Genomic DNA, 18814 nt, shown 5'->3' on the forward strand with positions numbered 1-18814 from the left:
GTTACTTTGGTAAATAGAACACTCAGGTTTCACTTCTGAGCCCCAGCTGTGGTATCTACTGGCCTGGACTTGAGCTAGTCACTTTATTTTCTGAGCTTCAGTTTGCTCACTGGACGAGTAGGAAAGTCATTCCTGTCTGGCTTAACTAGAGGGCCTGTGGTGAGGCATAAACTGGAGAAGAAAATCAAACCATCTGGTGAACTGTCAAGCTCAAGTAAGCCCATGTTAGGATCAAGACCTGTTCTTAGGATTATTCACTGGGAAAATGGCAGGGATGGGAAAGTCCCTTTATTTATTTATTTGTTTGTTTGTTTGTTTGGGAGGGAGTCTCATTCTGTCGCCCAGGCTGGAGTGCAGTGGCATGATCTTGGCTCACTGCAGTCTCCGCCTCCCAGGTTCAAGCGATTCTCCTGCGTCAGCCTCCCAAGTAGCTGGGACAACAGGTGCATGCCACCATGCCAGGCTAATTTTTGTATTTTTAGAAGAGACGGGGTTTCACCATGTTGGCCAGGCTGTTCTCAAACTTCTGACCTCAGGTAATCTGCCCACCTTGGCCTCCCAAAATGCTGGGATTACAGATGTGAGCCACTGCGCCTGGCCCCAGAAAGTCCCTTTTATACATACCCTCTCCCCGTCTTTGGCAGCAAAAGACTGAACTCTTATCTGTGTGGTAAGGAGCTGCCTTTTTCTTTTATTTTCTTTCAACTTTTTATTTTATTTTACTTTATGTTCCAGGATACATGTGCAGAACGTGCAGGTTTGTTACATAGATAAATGGTAAATGTGTGTCATGGTGGTTTGCTGTACCTCTCAACCCTTCACCTAGGTATTAAGCCCAGCATGCATTCGCTATTTGACCTGATGAAGGAGCTGCCTTTTATACCTCTTGCTTTTGCATATGCTGTTCCCTCTACCTGTCAGTCTTTTACTTGTAAACCTGTTAAACTGGCACTCAGATCTTTCAAAAAGTCCACTCAAATGTTTTCTCATCTCTGAAGTCTTTATTCTCCCTCAGGGTTCCTACCCCCTGCCCATCCACCCACTCAGTGATAGAATTCCCTCTCTCCACAGTGTGACCACAGTTTTTTGTACACTTTGCTTTACTTTAAGTCTTTTTCATATGTATAATCTGCTCACAGGTCTGTCTTCCTTACTGGACTATGAGGAATTTGATTATGGACTGTATATTGTGTCATTGTTAAGTTTCCTGAGTATGGTATGCATGTTGTGGTTATTTATAATGTCCTTGTTATTAGTAGATACATGCTGACACTTTTAAGGATGACATGATATCACATTTGCAACTTACTCTCAAGTGGTTCAGAAACAAAATGTGTATACTGACCACACACTGCCCCCACACACAGATAAAGCAAATTGGTAAAATGTCAATATTTGACTCTAGATGAAGGGTATGTGGTGTATTCTTGCAAATTTCCATAAGTTTGGAATTTTGCAAATTAAGGGTGGAAAAAAAAAAGCATGGATTTTGGCATTAGACCTGATGGGTTTAAACTTAATTGTAAAGCTTTATCACCTGCTTTATTTTTCTTTCTTTCTTTTTTCTTTTTTTTTTTTTTTTTGAGACTGAGTCTCACTCTGTCGCCCAGGCTGGAGTGCAGTGGCGTGATCTCGGCTCACTGCAAGCTCTGCCTCCCAGGTTCACGCCATTCTCCTGCCTCAGCCTCCAGAATAGCTGGGACTACAGGCACCCGCCACCACGCCTGGCAAATTTTTTTTTTTTTTTCATAGAGACGGGGTTTCACCGTGTTAGCCAGGATGGTCTCGATCTCCTGACCTCGTGATCTGCCTGCCTCAGCCTCCCAAAGTGCTGGGATTACAGGTGTGAGCCACCGCGCCCGGCCCACCTGCTTTATTTTTCTTTGAGCTGTGGGGCTTTTGGCAAATCATTTCCCTCTCTTGCTAAGGGTTTTCCTGACTATAAACAGGGCTAATAACTGTACCTAACCCTATAGGGTTATAAGGATGAAAAAGAATGATGAATGTAAGGGGCTAAGCCAATGCCTGGCACATAGTGAGTGCTCAATTAATGTTAACTATTGTTATGGCCATACATATTGTCAATATATGTTTACATAAAGGGACAAGCTTGGGAAAGTTGAAATACCCCACCTTAAAGGAGCTGGTGTACTAGTGGAAAAACACAAAATACCTCATTGTCCTTATTTGAAAGACCTGAGGCATTTGGAATTGCCATTGAATCTCATTCCAGGGGCAAGAGTGGTGTTAAAGAAATCCACTGGGGATAAGGTAGAGGGTAGGCCAGGGAGGAAGGGCCAACCAAGGTCTGAGGAAACAGAGAGATGCTGTGGCAGGCAGTAAGATAAACTTGGGGACTCAAGGGTGGGGACGTAGTGACTATTGTCTCCCCTCCCCCTCCAGAGTGGGTAAGTCACTGATTAGTTTAATTGCTGTGCCTACCCATGCCCCCTTCTCGGAGAGCTTTTGTTTTCAGCCCTGTCATCCCAATCTAGGATGGACATCAGGTGTTTGCAAGCCCTGGACCCCTGTGTGCCTAATGCTCATGGGGAAGGACAGTTCCCCGGGAGGAAATCAAGAGTCAGCTTTATGGTTGCATTGAGAACTTTAATGGTAAGCCGATTTTTCATGTTTGCCAGTAAGCTCCTGTGAGGGGTTGAGACGGCGGAAGCTTAAGAGTGCAGTGTTCCTCCCCTCCTTGCCTCTAGAGGCATGCTGACTTCCTTCCTGGTCACAGAGCCCTGGCAAAGCCAAGGCAAAGCCAGAGCTCAGAACCTAGAGACTTCCTTTTGACAAAGCAGCGCCTCAGAAGCTCTTCTAGGCTTTAGTTGGGGAAGCTTTTTGTTGTTGTTGTTGTGACGGAGTCTCACTTTGTCACCCAGGCTGGAGTGAAGTGGCACAATCTCAGCTCACTGCAGCCTCCACCTCCTGGGTTCAAACAATTTTCCTGCCTTAGCCTCCCGAGTAGCTGGGATTACAGGCGTGGGCCACCACGCCCGGCTAATTTTTGTATTTTTTTTTTTTTTTTTTTTTTTGAGACGGAGTCTCGCTCTGTCGCCCAGGCTGGAGTGCAGTGGCGCGATCTCGGCTCACTGCAAGCTCCGCCTCCCGGGTTCACGCCATTCTCCTGCCTCAGCCTCCCGAGTAGCTGGGACTACAGGCGCCCGCTACCACGCCCGGCTAATTTTTTGTATTTTTAGTAGAGATGGGGTTTCATCATGTTGGCCAGGCTGGTCTCGAACTCCTGACCTCAAGTGATCCACCCACCTTGGCCTCCCAAAGTGCTGGGATTACAGGCGTGAGCCACCACGTCCAGCCTGGGGAAGGTTTTTGTAACTGCTGCTGTGTGGTAGAATCTGGGCCCTTCAAGGAGCGGGTGGGGTAGGATAGTGAGGGGAAGCCTCCCAAGCTAGGACAAGAGCAAGCAGAAACAGGCAAATTTGTGTAAGTTCAGGTTCAAGGACTCTCCATCCTAGCTCATCTCCAAAGAGTTGATGTACTCCCGAACCCATTTCTTCTCTGGGTTGGCACACACTTGGCGGTTCTTTCGGGTGACAAAGCTGTGGGAGAGGAGAAGAAGAGGGAGGATGAGACCTTGTCAGTACCGGGACAGCCAGTTTGGGGGATGAAGTGGATTAAGGTATAAAGGGAAATTATGATGATATCGGGGTAGGGCATATTTGGAGCTCCATAAGATTTTATTTGTGGCTTTTAAGGAGAGAACATTTCCTCATCTGTTGGATCAAAGGGCTCCAAGCCAGAAACAAATTTGTGTGCATTTTAATCGCCTTCACACAAATGCATGTAGCCTGAAAAGCTAAGAGGATACGGAGCCTTGAAGCCCAGGGCTGAGCCTGCCAATCACTAGACTTTTCTCAGCACTTCCTCTGCTCCAGGCCTTGTGCTGGGTGCTTAAGATGCAGAGAGAATAAGGTGTCCCTCAAGAACTGAGTCATGATTGAATAAGTGGGAGACAAGAAGTTCTTTTTTTTTTTATTTTTTGAGATGGAGTCTTGCTCTGTCACCCAGGCTGGAGTGCAAGTGGCACGATCTCAGCTCACTGCAACTTTCGCCTCCCGGGTTCAAGCGGTTCTCCTGCCTTAGTCTCCCAAGTAGTTGAGACTACTGGCGCCCGCCACCATGCCCAGCTAATTTTTGTATTTTTAGTAAAGATGGGGTTTTACCATGTTGGCCAGGATGGTCTCAAACTCCTAACCTCAGGTGATCCACCCACCTTGGCCTCCCAAAGTGTTGGGATTACAGGCGTGAGCCACGGCGCCTGGCCTCTTTTTTTTTTTCCTTTGAGACGGAGTCTCACTGTCACCCAGGCTGGAGTGCAGTGGCACGATCTCAGCTCACTGCAAGTTCCACCTCCCGGGTTCACGCCATTCTCCTGCTTCAGCCTCCTGAGTAGTTGGGACTATAGGCGCCCCCCACCACGCCTGGCTAATTTTTTGTATTTTTAGTAGAGACAGAGTTTCACTGTGTTAGCCAGGATGGTCTCGATCTCCTGACCTCGTGATTCACCCACCTTGGCCTCCCAAAGTGCTGGGATTACAGGCATGAGCCACCGCGCCTGGCCGAGAAGTTCTTAAAAGAACATCTGATTTGGCTTTAGACAACGCAGTGCCTGGCACACTCAACAAGTGAATACATCTGTGCATGGGTGGGTGAACGAAAGATGGGCATGACCTTGAGTCTTCATTTCACCATTTATTAGTTTGATCATTTTGTGCAAATCACTTAAAGCCTCTGCTTCTATTTGCTAAGCTCTGAAATGTAGATAGAAATAATTCTTTGCACAATTACTGTGAAGCTCAAAGGATAATATGTATGAATAAGTTTGGAAAAATACCATTCATGTGTTGTTACTAGAATGCTCTGAAACTTCTCCTTTAGGGTGGATGAGAGCAACATGAGACTAAAAGTCCTGGTACTAGACACTGTGGCTCAGGGGAGTTGAGGGCCATGAGATAATGGCAATGTCAAAGCACTTGCACCAAGTAACCAGCCAGAATGTGGAGGCCTATGAGAATCAGAGGCCTTATCTCTATAGTCATTGATGATAAAGCTGGAAATGTAAAAGTTGGGGGTCATGAGGGTCAGTCCAGCTGCCTGCCTCACCTGTCTGCTGGGAAACTGATTCTACCTGTGCGAGACCTTGGGCCTTGCTAGCAGCGCTGCCAATTAACACATTACTTCAGGGTCAGTCCTGCCTACTTACCCTTTCCCATTTTGGCTTTTCCTTTAGGATTTTTTCCTGCACATTATTCTTATTATTATTTGAAATTTGAACACTGATTTTACTTAAGTTCAAATACTGGATATGTTATTTTAGAGATTCTCATAGGAAGAAAATCAACTATTTATTGTGCAGCCATCCAGAAGTTTATTTATTTATTTTTATTTTTGAGACAGGGTCTCACTGTCACCCAGGCTGAAGTGTAGTGACATGAACACAACTCACTGCAGCCTCAACCTCCTGGGCTCAAGTGATCCTCCCACCTTAGCCTCCTGAGTAGCTGGGACCACAGGTGTATACCACCACACTTGGCTAATTTTTAAAAATTTATTTTTGTAGAGACAAGCTCTTACCACGTTGCCCAGGTTGGTCTCAAATTCCTGGGCTCAAGCCATCCTCCTGCCTCAATCTCCCTAAAATGCTGGTATTACAGGGGTAAGCCACCATGCCTGGCCAGAAGTTTATTTTATTTTTTATTTTTGAGATGGTGTTTTGCTCTTATTGCCCAGGCTGGAGTGCAGTGGCACAATCTTGGCTCACTGCAACCTTCGCCTCCCGGGTTCAAGCGATTCTCCTGCCTCAGCCTCCTGAGTAGCTGGGATTACAGGTGTGCGCCACCACGCCCAGCTAATGTTTTTGTATTTTTAGTAGATACAGGGTTTCATCATGTTGGCCAGGCTGTTCTTGAACTCCTGACCTCAGATGACCACCCGCCTCAGCCTCCCAAAGTACAGGGATCACAGACGTGAGCCACCGCACCCAGATAGAAGTTTATTTTTTAAATCTTATTGACCCATGCAGTATGCCACATGATTACATAGCATAACAAAGGAATTATATGTCTCAAACAACACAGAAATTCCGCCTTTGCTTTTGTGATTACTATCACATTAAAAAAAAAAAGAAATGTATTCCCTAGATGGAAGTATTATTCCCAAATATGTTCTGATGTGCTATGTACCCACCTTATTTAAATATTTCATCACTCATTCATTCTTTGGTTTAATATTTTCATTCTTTCTCTATGCATGTATTGGTGTGTCTGTCAAAGTCATTAAGCTCTTGTGGTTCTCCTGATTCTGTGCCTAACAGCATTAAATTTTTTTTTAATTGTGGTAAAATATTCATAACATAAAATTTACCATCGTAACCATTTTTGGATGTATCCTGCACATTCTTGAGCCTAAATATTTTCAGACAAAGTGAAGCCTTAGATTGTCTGGTGAGAATGAGGATTTCTTGGTTTCTCTTTGTGTTTCCCTTTCCCAGCCTCACTCAGAGCCACTTGACCATCTCTTTTTCTCCCACCCCGGTGTGCAGAGATGAAAAGGGAACGGAAGCAATATTCTGGCCTCTCATACTTTCTAGAGTTTGTGTTCTTATTTAGGGTGGTGTGAGAGTTTCAGACACAGACCTTGCCCTTGTTCAGCCGGGAGTCATACAGGAAATCCTGCCAGACTTGCTGTCCCTCTCTCTTTGGCATCCTTGACCTGTGGCTAGGAAGTCAAAAGGCCAGGAAAACAATACCTGAGATGAGGGTAGCTCAGGCCTCCATTTCCTGCCCCCAACCTCCCCGCAGACTGTGATACCAAAGAACAGCCCCTCCTTGCCAAGTCTTCCCTCCTTACCTCCATTTTTGGCACCCTCTGCTTGCCTGACTTCCTCCTTCTGCCTACCCCTTAAGAGCGGATGTTCTCAAAGCTGCTGCCCTTTTCTCTTCTTTGCGTTTTTTCCTAAGTCTCTGGCCCTGGGCCTGGCACATAGTTGATGCTTAATGGATGTTTATTGAATGATTAAGTGAATGAATGCAATTCACTCATTCATTCCTTAAGTTTCACCTGTTATTTTTGTGTACGCAATAATGCATTTAGATGATAATGATAATAATAAGCTAACATTTATGCACCTACTGTGTACCAGAGCATATTCTAAGTATTTTCATCTTACTGTGACCCAGTGGGGGAAGTACTTCTATTACCCTATTTTGTAGAGGAGGTAATTGGGGTTACGAGAGGTTAATTGAAGGGCCTACACTCACCAAGTGTCATAGCTGGAGTCCTAACAAAGCAAACTAGCTCTAGAGCCAGTACTCACCAAGGCAGGCTGCATTGCCTTTTTAAAATTGGGATACCCCTTTTTCCCACAAAAGAATGTCATATTTTCAGCCCTAACACCCTTTCCTCAGCTACCAACCCTTCATTTCACCATCACCACTGGACATATCCACAGGGTTATCTTGCTGGCACCTTAGCTCTTTCCTCTTTAAACAGCTCTTTCACAAGGCTTAAGATGGTTCTACACTTCTCCAGCCAGAGGTGGAAACCTCAGTGTCATCCTTAACCCCCATTTTTCTCCCTTGCTCTTGAGCTCAAATCACCTGCTAGGGCTTGCAAATTCCACCTTTGAAGGTTTCAAAAGTGTCTGTCTTTGAAACCTCCTGTCTCTCCTTTCCTTCAGGCACTGTTCAGCCTCCAATACTACTCACGTGGATAACAACAGTAGCCGCTAAACTGGACTCCTGTTTTCTCAGCTTTCCCTGTTCTAGCTCATTTTACACTTGACAGCTGCATTTAGCACTTTTGCTGCATTTTCCTGACACTCCGTGCTTTCCTACATGGAGACTGTACATAAACCAAAGTAGAATCCTGGGGGACAGTCCCTTTTCCTGATATATCCCATTCCCTAGGCTTTTCTCTGCCAGGCCAAATCTCTCCTCAGACAGCACCATTTGCAGCAAACCTGTAAATCCCTGAAGCTGAATGTGTTTCCTCTCTCTTTCCCTTGTCATGTTTTTTTTTGCTGTGTACTCTAGTCATTGCTGTGTCTGTCTTGCCCCTCTTATTAGACTATGAGTCCCATAAGGTTGGGCTGGGACAGTGGCTTTAGTAATCTGTGTCTGCCAATAGTATGTGCTCAGGGAAGGATTTTCTTCTTTTGAAAAATATTTGTTTTCAGAAATAAAATTAGTAATTGTTAAATATTACCATTATACTTAAAAGGATTCATCAGATCCAAAGTCTGTCTTTGAGTACCTCTAACTTTGCCAGTGTCATAAATTTTTGGATTAAAAAACTTCACCCTGGCTGGGTACAGTAGCTCACACCTGTAATCCCAGCACTTTAGGAGGCTGAGGCAAGAGAATTGCTTGAACCCGGGAGGCAAAGGATGCAGTGAGCTGAGATTGCACCATTGTACTCCAGCCTGGGCAACAGAGTGAGTGAGACTCTGTCTCAAAACAAAAACAAAAACAAAAACTTCACTCTTATATAAGAAACTTCAGAATTGCACCATTTTCATTTTTTAAGTCTCTACCATAAATTTCTTAAGCAATTGTCACTAATGACTTTGCTATAGTAGAAAGAGGAGGCTCTAGAGATGGACTTCATCCCTCATTTACTGTGCAGCCTTGGCTAAATCAATAAACCTCTCTGAATCTTAGTTTCAATACCTGAAACATGGAGAGAATTATGCATACTTGTCAGAGCTAAGTGTAATTTAAAGATCAGGCACATAAGACATTTGACACATAGTAGGCATTTCCTATATAGTAGGGTTTATTATATTTTTCCAAATATACTAGCTTGCATATTTAAAGGTGAATCTCATTTCCTTATTTCTTCTCTGATGGATGGCTTTTTGTTTTTTTATTTGACTACAGTTATAGATCCCTGACCTCTGACCTCTTCTCCCTAGTTCCTCTGAGGTTTAGGTGGATTTGATTGGGTGTGAAATATGGGGGACTGTGTGAAATATGGGGTTCTTCACTGAAGGGGATGACTGACTTGATCTTCCCCACATAGGAGCATTCCAGACCATGTTTCAAGTAAAGGCCACACTAGTAAAGATTGGAGTCCTAGGCCAGGCACAGTGGCTCATGCCTATAATCCCAGCACTTTGGGAGGCTGAGGCGGGTAGATCACGAGGGCAGGAGATCGAGACCATCCTGGCTAACACGGTGAAACCCCGTCTCTACTAAAAATACAAAAAATTAGCCAGGCATGGTGTGGGCACCTGTAGTCCCAGCTACTCGGGAGGCTGAGGCAGGAGAATGGCATGAACCCAGGAGGTGGAGCTTGCAGTGAGCCGAGATCGTGCCGGTGCACTCCAGCCTGGGCGACAGAGTGAGACTCTGTCTCAAAAAAAAAAAAAAAAAAAAAAAAAAAAAGATTGGAGTCCTGGGAACATAGTCCATTGGAGTGGGCACGATTCTCTAAGGACAGCTTGTCTAGTCTTTTTACATGATAGCAGGGGACTCTGAGGCTAGAGATGGAGGAGCTGTGGCTGCTTGCAGCTGGAGGATAGGTGGAAGTGGGTAGGGCATCCTCTCAGAGGACTCCTCAGGGAACAGGCTCTGGGAGGGCTCCATGGGGCTGAGACTCACACGACTGCTGGGTTGGAGCACTTGCCACTGGTGTAGAAATACTCCTTGATGTGGGCACGGGGCAGTGGGCGGGCAATGTAGGCAAAGCAGCAGGGTGTGGTGTCCGAGGAATCTGGAAGAGGAAAGGAAGGAGGGAGACCCTTTTATTCATTGCTACTGCACACTTGACATTGTGCTGGACACTTTATATGATTTATTTAGAAAGAACTGTTATCTTCCTTGACAGAAACTGAGGCTCAGAGAGGTAAAGTCACTTGGCCATGGATAAACAGTGGCAGAGTGGGGATTCCAATGCCTCATCTAATCCTTGAGCCAAGCTTGTATCCATCCCTCTACACCATAACCTTCTGCCCTGGGCTTTCAGGGCCTCCTCCTGGCTTGTCCTGGGTCCTCTGGCTTCATTCTTGCCCTTCCAGCATCCTCAATGGATTTGGAACTTGGTTTCTTTGAGACCTAGGGCAGGTTGTGGGGAGGCTTCCAAAGCTCAGGCTCCATGACTCAGCCAGGATCCTAAGAAGGGCCTGGAGATGCATATTGTATCTTGGGAGCTCTGGTTGAGCTTCAGTGAGAAGGGCTCTCAACAGAGAACTTCTTGTTGGTCAGTTAATTCAAGATGACGTTGGGAAGCATCAGTTGCCACTTCCCAGCAGAGGAGTAGTTTTTATTTTCCCAGCAAGATGGAACCAGGTTTGAATACCAGTCTCCCCATTTCCTAGCTGTGTGCCTCCATGGACAAGTTACTTAACCTCTCTGTTTTCCCATCTGTACATCAAGGACAGCTACTCAAAGAAGGGTTGTGGGTATTAAATAAGATGTACAAAAATCGGCTGGGCACGGTGGCTCACGCCTGTAATCCCAGCACTTTGGGAGGCCGAGGCGGGCGGATCACGAGGTCAAGAGATCGAGACCATCCTGGCTAACATGGTGAAACCCCGTCTCTACTAAAAAATACAAAACATTAGCAGGGTGTGGTGGCGGGTGCCTGTAGTCCCCGCTACTCCGGAGGCTGAGGCAGGAGAATGGCATGAACCCGGGAGACGGAGCTTGCAGTAAGCCGAGATCGTGCCGCTGCACTCCAGCCTGGGCGACAGAGCGAAGACTCCATCTCAAAAAAAAAAAAAAAAAAAAAAAAGATGTGCCAAAATCAGCACAATGCCTGATCCATAGTAACCATTTAATTAGCTTTTATTATCCTCTCCTTGTTTTTATTTGTTTTTTAAATGTATTCACTCTAATAAAGCCACATACCCTCTCATAAGCCAATTTTTTTTACATTTATGAAATGAGAGAGAATATGGCTGTCTCAGGGTCTCAGGAAGTTTTAGTTTAGTTAAATTTCTTAGAAACCCTGCTGCTGACAGGCATGAGTCAGACGTGTTTCAAAGTCAGTGTGAGCTACTCATGACTACTAATCTCCCCAACATGAGTCCACACTCAGTGAACACCTGTAGGCCTTGAGGGTGTAGACCTTAAAGACAGAAAAACTGATCAGGAGATCCCTGCCATGAAGCAGCATAGAGATCTCTCAAGGACAACAGGACATATGGGTAAGACAATTCATAAGAATGTAAATAATGGGGTTCAGACAGTATTCATGCTACAGTTGAAAAGAGGGCAAGGTGTGGGACAGTCATTGGGATGGGGTAGGCATTCTAGGCAGAGTCTGACTCCAGGGGCTGTGGTGGTCAAGACCAGGACTTACATGGGGAGGCAGATGCAGGAGCGCAGAGGGCAGTAGCAATGAGGATGACAGCGAGGGCTGCCGCGGAGACCTTCATGGTACCTGTGGGAGAGGCTGTGCGAGGTCCACGTGCTGTCTTGATCCTCTGCAGGAATCCTCTGCAGCTCAGGCTGGCCCTTTATAGGGCCAGTTGAGGGGCATCCCCTAAGGGGAGTTTCCAAAATAGCAACCAAGCATTGGCCGGTATCATAAGTGAAATTGCACAAAACGGAAAAGAAAACTGAAATAGCCTCCGGAAATTCGAGTCTCTGTCTCTCCCTCACTGCTCTCTCATCTAGAGTGAGCTCATCAGTTTCCTCTTTGACCAAGCACCAATGGTGGAAAAATTTCTCTGCTGACATCCTTAGTTTTACCTTCCAGGGAAGGGGTCCTCCTCAGAGAGCAGGAAGCCGCTTTCTTGGGGACAACAAGGAGTGGCAGTTAGGACAGGATCAGAAGTCACTGAGTCTTTATTACTCACTGAGTCACTGAGTCTTCAAAGTTCCTGCTTATTCATTACAGATCTTACCTCCTTTCCCTCATCCATGGAAGGATGTTATTTATAAAGTGTTTTATTGAGGAGGGTCCTCTGGATATACAGTCCCCAAAGGAGGTGAGCACACTCACACTGTAAATTGAGGCAGTTGATCTGAGCTGGGCATTGGGAACCTTTTCACAAGATATGAGTTGGAATGAGTCCTCTTGTGGGAATTTCTTGCTTTCATCCTGGTCATAGGGTCTCTCCCATTTACTTGCTAAGCGACCTTTGGGAAAAGTGCTTAATGTCTTTGAGTTCTATTTCCTTGTTTATAAAGTGGAATAATTGATTAGAGACTTGTTGAGAAGCAGAGGGAGAGAAAGATATCTTACAGCATACTCTATCATTATTGGCTACCATTTACCGAGGGCTTATCTGTGCCAGCCACTATTCCACTGTCCTAGCGCGTGTCAACTCATTTACTATTATTATCCCCATTTTATGAATGAGGAAACTCAATAAATACTGGGATCCCATCTCACTGTAAGGCCTTCTTGGGCACAAAAGTTACAGAATATGAAAGCTTCAAAGGACTTTAGGGATCATTTTTTCCATGTTCTTCAGTTGCACAAGAGGAAACCAAGGCCCAGTGAGCAGGAGTGACTTGCTAAGAACACACAGCAAATGAATGACAGAGTTGGGATCAGAACCCAGTTGCCCTCACTCCCACTTCAGTGCTCTGTCCATTAAGTACTGCCCAACATTAAAGGGTTCGTGGTTAGGAGTATCCTCAAAACTGAACCCATGTGGAACTTCTGGATTAGAGCTAGGGTCCTTACTGCATTCCAAAGAACTGGATACAGTAAGTCTTCATCAATTCCTATTTTAGTAGTTCAGAATTAGCAACAATTTGGTCCGGGCTAGGCTGAAATTGGCATCTGAATAATAATAATAATATTATTATTATTATTATTATTATTGAGACAGTCTTGCTGTGTCGCCCAGGTTGGACTGCAGTGGCACAATCTCGGCTCATTGCAAGCTGTGCCTCCCAGGTTCACGCCATTCTCCTGCCTCAGCCTCCCAAGTAGCTGGGACTACAGGAGCTGGCCAGAATGCCTGGCTAATTTTTTTGTATTTTTAGTAGAAATGGAGTTTCACCATGTTAGCCAGGATGGTCTCTATCTCCTGCCCTCGTGATCCGCCCGCCTTGGCTTCCCAAAATGCTGGGATTACAGGCCGTACCCGGCCGGCATCTGAATTATTTAAGAGAAAAGTGTTTATTGAGAGTGACAAAAGCGGCCGGGCGCGGTGGTTCACGCCTGTAATCCCAGCACTTTGGGAGGCCGAGGCGGGCGGATCATGAGGTCAGGAGATCGAGGCCATCCTGGCTAACACAGTGAAACCCCGCCTCTACTAAAAATACAAAAAATTAGCCGGGCGTGGTGGCGGGCGCCTGTAGTCCCAGCTACTCAGGAGGCTGAGGCAGGAGAATGGCGTGAACCCGGGAGGTGGAGCTTGCAGTGAGCCGAGATCGCGCCACTGCACTCCAGCCTGGGCGACAGAGCGAAACTCCGTCTCAAAAAAAAAAAAAAAAAAAAAGAGAGTGACAAAAGCAAAATAAACAAAATGTAACCCCCTACTGAGATCATTTTCTGTTAGCTACTCTCACACTTGTAACATGGTGGTTGACGGTGACTAAATCACCCAGAATGGGAAGACTTTGCCACATTTCTTCCTCACGATGACTTTGAGGCAGAGTGGTTGTTCTTCTCATTTGACCAAAGAGGAAAGTAAGCCTCAGAACAGATAATTAACATCTTCAAGATCACGCAGCTGATAAGTGGGATTTGAAGGCAGGTGTTTCTGATGACCATGCTCAAGCTCTGTCCAGTGAATCACATCAGTAAGTCAGTTAACAGTTATCAAGACCTTTCGGCCAGGCGCGGTGGCTCACACCTGTAATCCCAGGACTTTGAGAGGCCGAGGCGGGCGGATCACGAGGTCAGGAGATCGAGACCATCCTAGCTAACACGGTGAAACCCCGTCTCTACTAAAAATAGAAAAAATTAGCCGGGCGTGGTGGCGGGCGCCTGTAGTCCCAGCTACTCGAGAGGTTGAGGCAGGAGAATGGCGTGAACCCAGGAGGCGGAGCTTGCAGTGAGCTGAGATCGCGCCACTGCACTCCAGCCTGGGCGAAAGAGCAAGACTCCGTCTCAAAAAAAAAAAAAAAAAAAAAAAAGACCTTTCTAGGTTACAGGTGCCATTCCAAGCTTTTTTTTTTTTTTTTTTTTTGAGACAGAGTGTCACTTTTTTGATCAGGCTGAAGTGCAGTGGCACGATCTCGGCTCACTGTACCCTCCACCTCCCAGGTTCAAGCAATTCTTCTGCCTCCTGAGTAGCTGGGATTACAAGCGTCCGCCACCATGCCTGGCTAATTTTTGTATTTTTAGTAGAGACAGGATTTCGCCATGTTGGCCAGGCTGGTCTCGAACTCCTGACCTCAGGCGATCCGCCCACCTCGGCCTCCCAAAGTGCTGGGATTACAGATGCGAGCCACTGCGCCTGGCCTTGTTCCAAGCTCTTTACAACAATCCTCTCATACCCTCCTTACAGCTCAATCAATTAACAATGGAAACGTAATTTTGGAAAGTATGGCCATCTCATTTAAAGAAACAAATTGCAAGCACTTTAGAAACATTCATCCAACCACACAAAAATGTTCTACCAATTGTTTCCTTCACAAAGCCCCGTTAGGTCTAAGGTAAGTTACCAAACATGTGAGAGGTTCTGGAAAAGGCGGTGGGTTAAGAGCAGGGACTCGGCAGTTTCTCCTGTTTATTGTCCAGGTGGCCTCAGGTAAATTATTAATAATCTCTCTGGTCTCAGTTTCCTTACCTATAAATCAGTGATAATAATAATAATAGTTCCTCACACAACTATCGAGACAATTAAGTCCCTATAAATGTTCTCATGCTTGCAAAGCTCTTAGTGCAACGTCTGACGCATGTTAAGTACTTAATAACATTGCCTATTATTATCATGTTATCATTAAGAGTAAGATGTCAGTGCCTTTAAGGATATTCTGTAATTTATGCTTTTCAACAGTCTAAACTAAACCCCCAGTCAATATGTATTCGTATTTGTTACAAAAAAATATTTATTTATTACAAAAAGCCTTTTTTTTTTTTTTTTTAAGACGGAGTCTCTCACTTTCGCCCAGGCTGGAGTGCAGTGGCACAATCTCGGCTCACTGCAAGCTCTGCCTCCCGGGTTCACGCCATTCTCCTGCCTCAGCCGCCCGCGTAGCTGGAACTACAGGCGCCCACCACCTCGCCCAGCTAGATTTTTCTGTTTTTAGTAGAGACAGGGTTTCACCATGTTAGCCAGGATGTTCTCAATCTCCTGACCTCGTAATCTGCCCGCCTTGGCCTCCCAAAGTGCTGGGATTACAGGCGTGAGCCACCGCGCCCGGCCACAAAAAGTCTTTTTTAAAACAGATGGGTAGTTGAGGCTTAGAGTGGTTAAGTGACTTATAGTCTGGGTTCATGGGCTTTCTACCACACTTCATTGTTTCTAGAGAAAATCATAAAACTATTACCAAGGCTCAGTTTTCTTCTGTGAGCTCAATTTCTGTTTTCTTTCCTTGATTTCAGTTTCCCTCTTTAAGGAAGAAAGGAAAGTGTTTTCCTGGATACTAGATATGCTGAGTTGGGACAGGAGCTAAGGATAGAGGTGAGGAAACCCGCAGACAACAGCGACATGCTCCTCATCTTTGAGTCCCAGCGAACCTTTCCACTGTGTGTGTGTGTACGTATATCTGTGTATAAGTGGTGGTGGGACAGAGGTTGGGTGGGTAGGATGGTGGGATGTTGGGATTGCTGAGTGGGAATAGGCAGTGGGAATGTCAAAAGTATTTTTGTTGTTGTTGTTTGAAACAGGATCTCACTCTGTTCCCCAGGCTGGAATGCAGTTAACTGATCACCTGCAGGCTTGAACTCCAGGGTTCAAGCGATCCTCCTACTTCAGCCTCCTGAGCAGCTAAGGACTACAGGTGTGCACCACCATGCTGGGCTAATTTTTTTTTTTTTTTTTTTGAGATGGAGTCTGGCTCTGTCACCCAGGCTGGAGTGCAGTGGCGCGATCTCGGCTCACTGCAAGCTTCGCCTCCCGGGTTCACGCCATTCTCCTGTCTCAGCTTCCCAAATAGCTGGGACTACAGTCTCCCACCACCATGCCCGGCTAATTTTTTGTATTTGTAGTAGAGATGGGGTTTCACTGTGTTAGCCAGGATGGTCTCGATCTCCTGACCTCATGATCTGCCCACCTCGGCCTCCCAAAGTGCTGGGATTACAGGCGTGAGCCACTGCACCATGCTGGGCTAATTTTTAAATTTGTCGTATAGATGGGATCTTGCTATGTTGCCCAGGCTGGTCTCGAACTCCTGGCTTCAAGCAATCCTCCCACCTTGGCCTCCCAAAGTGCTGGGGTTGTAGGCATGAACCGCCACACCCAGCCATGGGAGTATTTTTCTTCCCTTTCAGTGATTCTAATGGATTGTGAGGAGCACAGGAGGGAGGAGAATCTAATTTTTATTTCATGTCTACCATTCATTTTCTCCTGTGCAAAATCAAGGTTTGGGCTTGATGGGCTATCTTCAATTTTTTCTCTGGTGCTAATGAACTGATTCCATAAGCAAATTAGAGAGCCCATGTAAACAGTATGGTGCCTGGTACAGGGTGGGTGTTCAATGAATGGCAACTATCATTATTATTCACCCAGCACATTATGTTCCTGAAAACCAGGAACTGCTTCCTGTCTGACCCACTGCAGTGGTGGAGAGGATCAAGGGAAATAATGATCATGGATGTGCTTAGGAGACGTAAGGTGAGATACACCATCATGGAGCTGTCTCTGCTCTCCCTGTCCCTTCAGTGTGCATGGTCCATACCACTCAGTCATTCCTTACCCACTCTACAGATTTTACTAAGAATTGCTGTGAGCTGGGCACCCTTCTACGCTCTGCAGACACCATGGCTAGTAAGACAGGCAAAGACCTGCCATCTGGAGCTTGTTTGGATATAGGGTAGGGGGACGGGGAGAAGGGAGATAAACAATAAACAAGTAAATTTACACTCTTTTATTGTGAATCATCCTTTCACTGGTCTTGTCTTAACTCCATGAACACAGCGACAGTGTCCTATGTGTTTTCTATTTATTTGTATTCTCTGCCTACTTTCCAATAAATGTCTTAGATAAGCTGCTATATCAATGCAGATTAAGTCATACTAACTTCTTGTAGCATCTTAATTAAATGGGCTCTCTGGAGTCAGACTTCTAGGTTCAAAATCCAGCTTCATGACTTATTATTTATTTATTTTTAATAAAAACTATTTTTAATAAACATCATATTTACAACATGACGTTTTGATATACATATACATAGTGAAATGATTATTCCAGTTAAACAAATTAATATATCCATCTCCTCATACAGTTACCGCTATTTTTGTGTATGTGGTGAGAGCACTTGAAATCTCTTCTCTTAGAAAATTTCCAGTATTCGGCTGGGCGCGGTGGCTCACGCCTGTAATCCCAGCACTTTGGGAGGCTGAGGCGGGTGGATCACCTGAGGTCAGGAGTTCGAGACCAGCCTGGCCAACGTGGTGAAACCCGGTCTCTACAAAAAATACAAAAATTGTCCGGGCATGGTTAGTGGCACACGCCTGTAATCCCAGCTACTCGGGAGGCTGAGGCAGAATTGCTTGAGCCAGGGAGACGGAGGTTGCAGTGAGCCGAGACTGTGCCACTGTACTCCAGCCTGGCCAACAGAGAAAGACTCAGTCTCCAAAAAAAAAAAAAAAAGAAAATTTCCGGTATCCAATACAATATTATTAACTCTACAGTAGCCCTCCCTTATCTGTATTTTGGTTATTCTGGTTTTGCTTACTGAGGTTTCAGTTACTCTTGGTCAACCATGGTCAGAAAATATTAAATGGAAAATTCCAGACATAAACATTTACATAACTTTTATTACAGTATATTGTTATAATTGTTCTATTTTGTTATTATTGTTGTTAATCTCTTACTGAGCCTAATTTATAAACTAAAGTTTATCATAGGTAGTATAGGAAAAAACACATAATAAAATAGTATATAACAGGTACTATCCATGGTTTCAGGCATCCACTGGGGGTCTTGGGACATCCACCACAGATAAATGGGAACTGCTGTAGTCCTCATGCTACACATTCGATTCTACATAACTGCAACTTTTTGCCCTTTGACCAGAATCTCCCAATTTCTCTTACAGCCCTGCCACTGGTAGCCAAAGTTCTATTCTTTGCCTCCATGTATTTGACTTTTTTAGATTCCACATGTAAGATCATGTAGTATTTTCCTTTCTATGTCTGCCTTGCTGTGATTAATGATGACTTTCAACAAGTTGCTTACTTTCTCTGGGCCTAAATTTCTTTGTCTGTAAAGTAAGATATTGGACCTAACCTGTCTGGGGCAATTGAGCCATTAAAGAATCTGATGAGGGCTGGGCACTGTGGCTTACGCCTGTAATCCCAGCACTTTGGGAGTTGGAGGTGGGTGGATTGCTTGAGCTCAGGAGTTGAAGAGCAGCCTGGACAACATGGCGAACCCCATCTCTACTAAAAATACAAAAATTAGCTGGGCATGGTGGCATGCCTGTAGTCCCAGCTACTCAGTGGGGAGGCAGGAGGATCGCTTGAGCCCAGGAGGCAAAGGTTGCAGTGAGCCAAGATTGAGCCACTGCACTCTAGCCTGGGTGACAGAGTGAGACCCTGTCTCAAAAAAAAAAAAAAGAAAAGAAAAGAAAAAAGGGCCGGGCGCGGTGGCTCATGCCTGTAATCCCAGCACTTTGGGAAGCCAAAGCGGGCGGATCACCCGAGGTCAGGAGTTCGATACCAGTCTGGCCAATGTGGTGAAACCCTGTCTCTACTAAAAATGCAAAAATTAGCTGGG

General features: G+C 45.4%; 1 protein-coding gene and 1 long non-coding RNA gene across 4 annotated transcripts; one reads left to right on the top strand and one right to left on the bottom strand.

Moving 5' to 3' along the window:
- The first annotated feature begins 67 nt into the window (after positions 1–67).
- On the top strand, positions 68–16959 carry LOC105371745 (uncharacterized). 2 transcript variants are annotated; one of them, XR_007065724.1, is made up of 5 exons: positions 68–214; positions 15478–15631; positions 15763–15875; positions 16604–16708; positions 16802–16959. It is a non-coding gene; the product is annotated as an uncharacterized LOC105371745 (long non-coding RNA). The 2 variants fall into 2 exon arrangements; XR_934699.2 differs by having other exon boundaries at positions 15783–15875.
- Positions 2587–11456, bottom strand: CCL5 (C-C motif chemokine ligand 5). Of its 2 annotated transcripts, NM_001278736.2 has the most exons (4): positions 11326–11456; positions 9624–9735; positions 6657–6738; positions 2587–3560 (listed from the first exon to the last, which is right to left on the bottom strand). In NM_001278736.2, the coding sequence occupies exons 1-4, from the start codon at positions 11399–11401 to the stop codon at positions 3366–3368; spliced, it is 465 nt and encodes a 154-aa protein (NP_001265665.1). In that variant the 5' UTR covers positions 11402–11456; the 3' UTR covers positions 2587–3365. The 2 variants fall into 2 exon arrangements, with proteins under 2 accessions (NP_001265665.1, NP_002976.2); NM_002985.3 differs by lacking the exon at positions 6657–6738.
- Positions 16960–18814: the final 1855 nt, after the last annotated feature.

This window comes from Homo sapiens, chromosome 17 (assembly GCF_000001405.40).
Source record: "Homo sapiens chromosome 17, GRCh38.p14 Primary Assembly".
Classification (NCBI taxonomy): domain Eukaryota; kingdom Metazoa; phylum Chordata; class Mammalia; order Primates; family Hominidae; genus Homo; species Homo sapiens.

Excerpts from the sequence above, each read along its gene's own strand:
- CCL5 (NM_001278736.2), bottom strand. The coding sequence starts at position 11,401 with ATGAAGGTCTCCGCGGCAGCCCTCGCTGTCATCCTCATTGCTACTGCC. Across the intron at positions 9,736-11,325 it reads TCCTGCATCTGCCTCCCCAT|ATTCCTCGGACACCACACCC; the intron begins GTAAGTCCTGGT and ends TTCCTCTTCCAG. Across the intron at positions 3,561-6,656 it reads CCCGGCTGAACAAGGGCAAG|CTTTGTCACCCGAAAGAACC; the intron begins GTCTGTGTCTGA and ends CCTCTCCCACAG.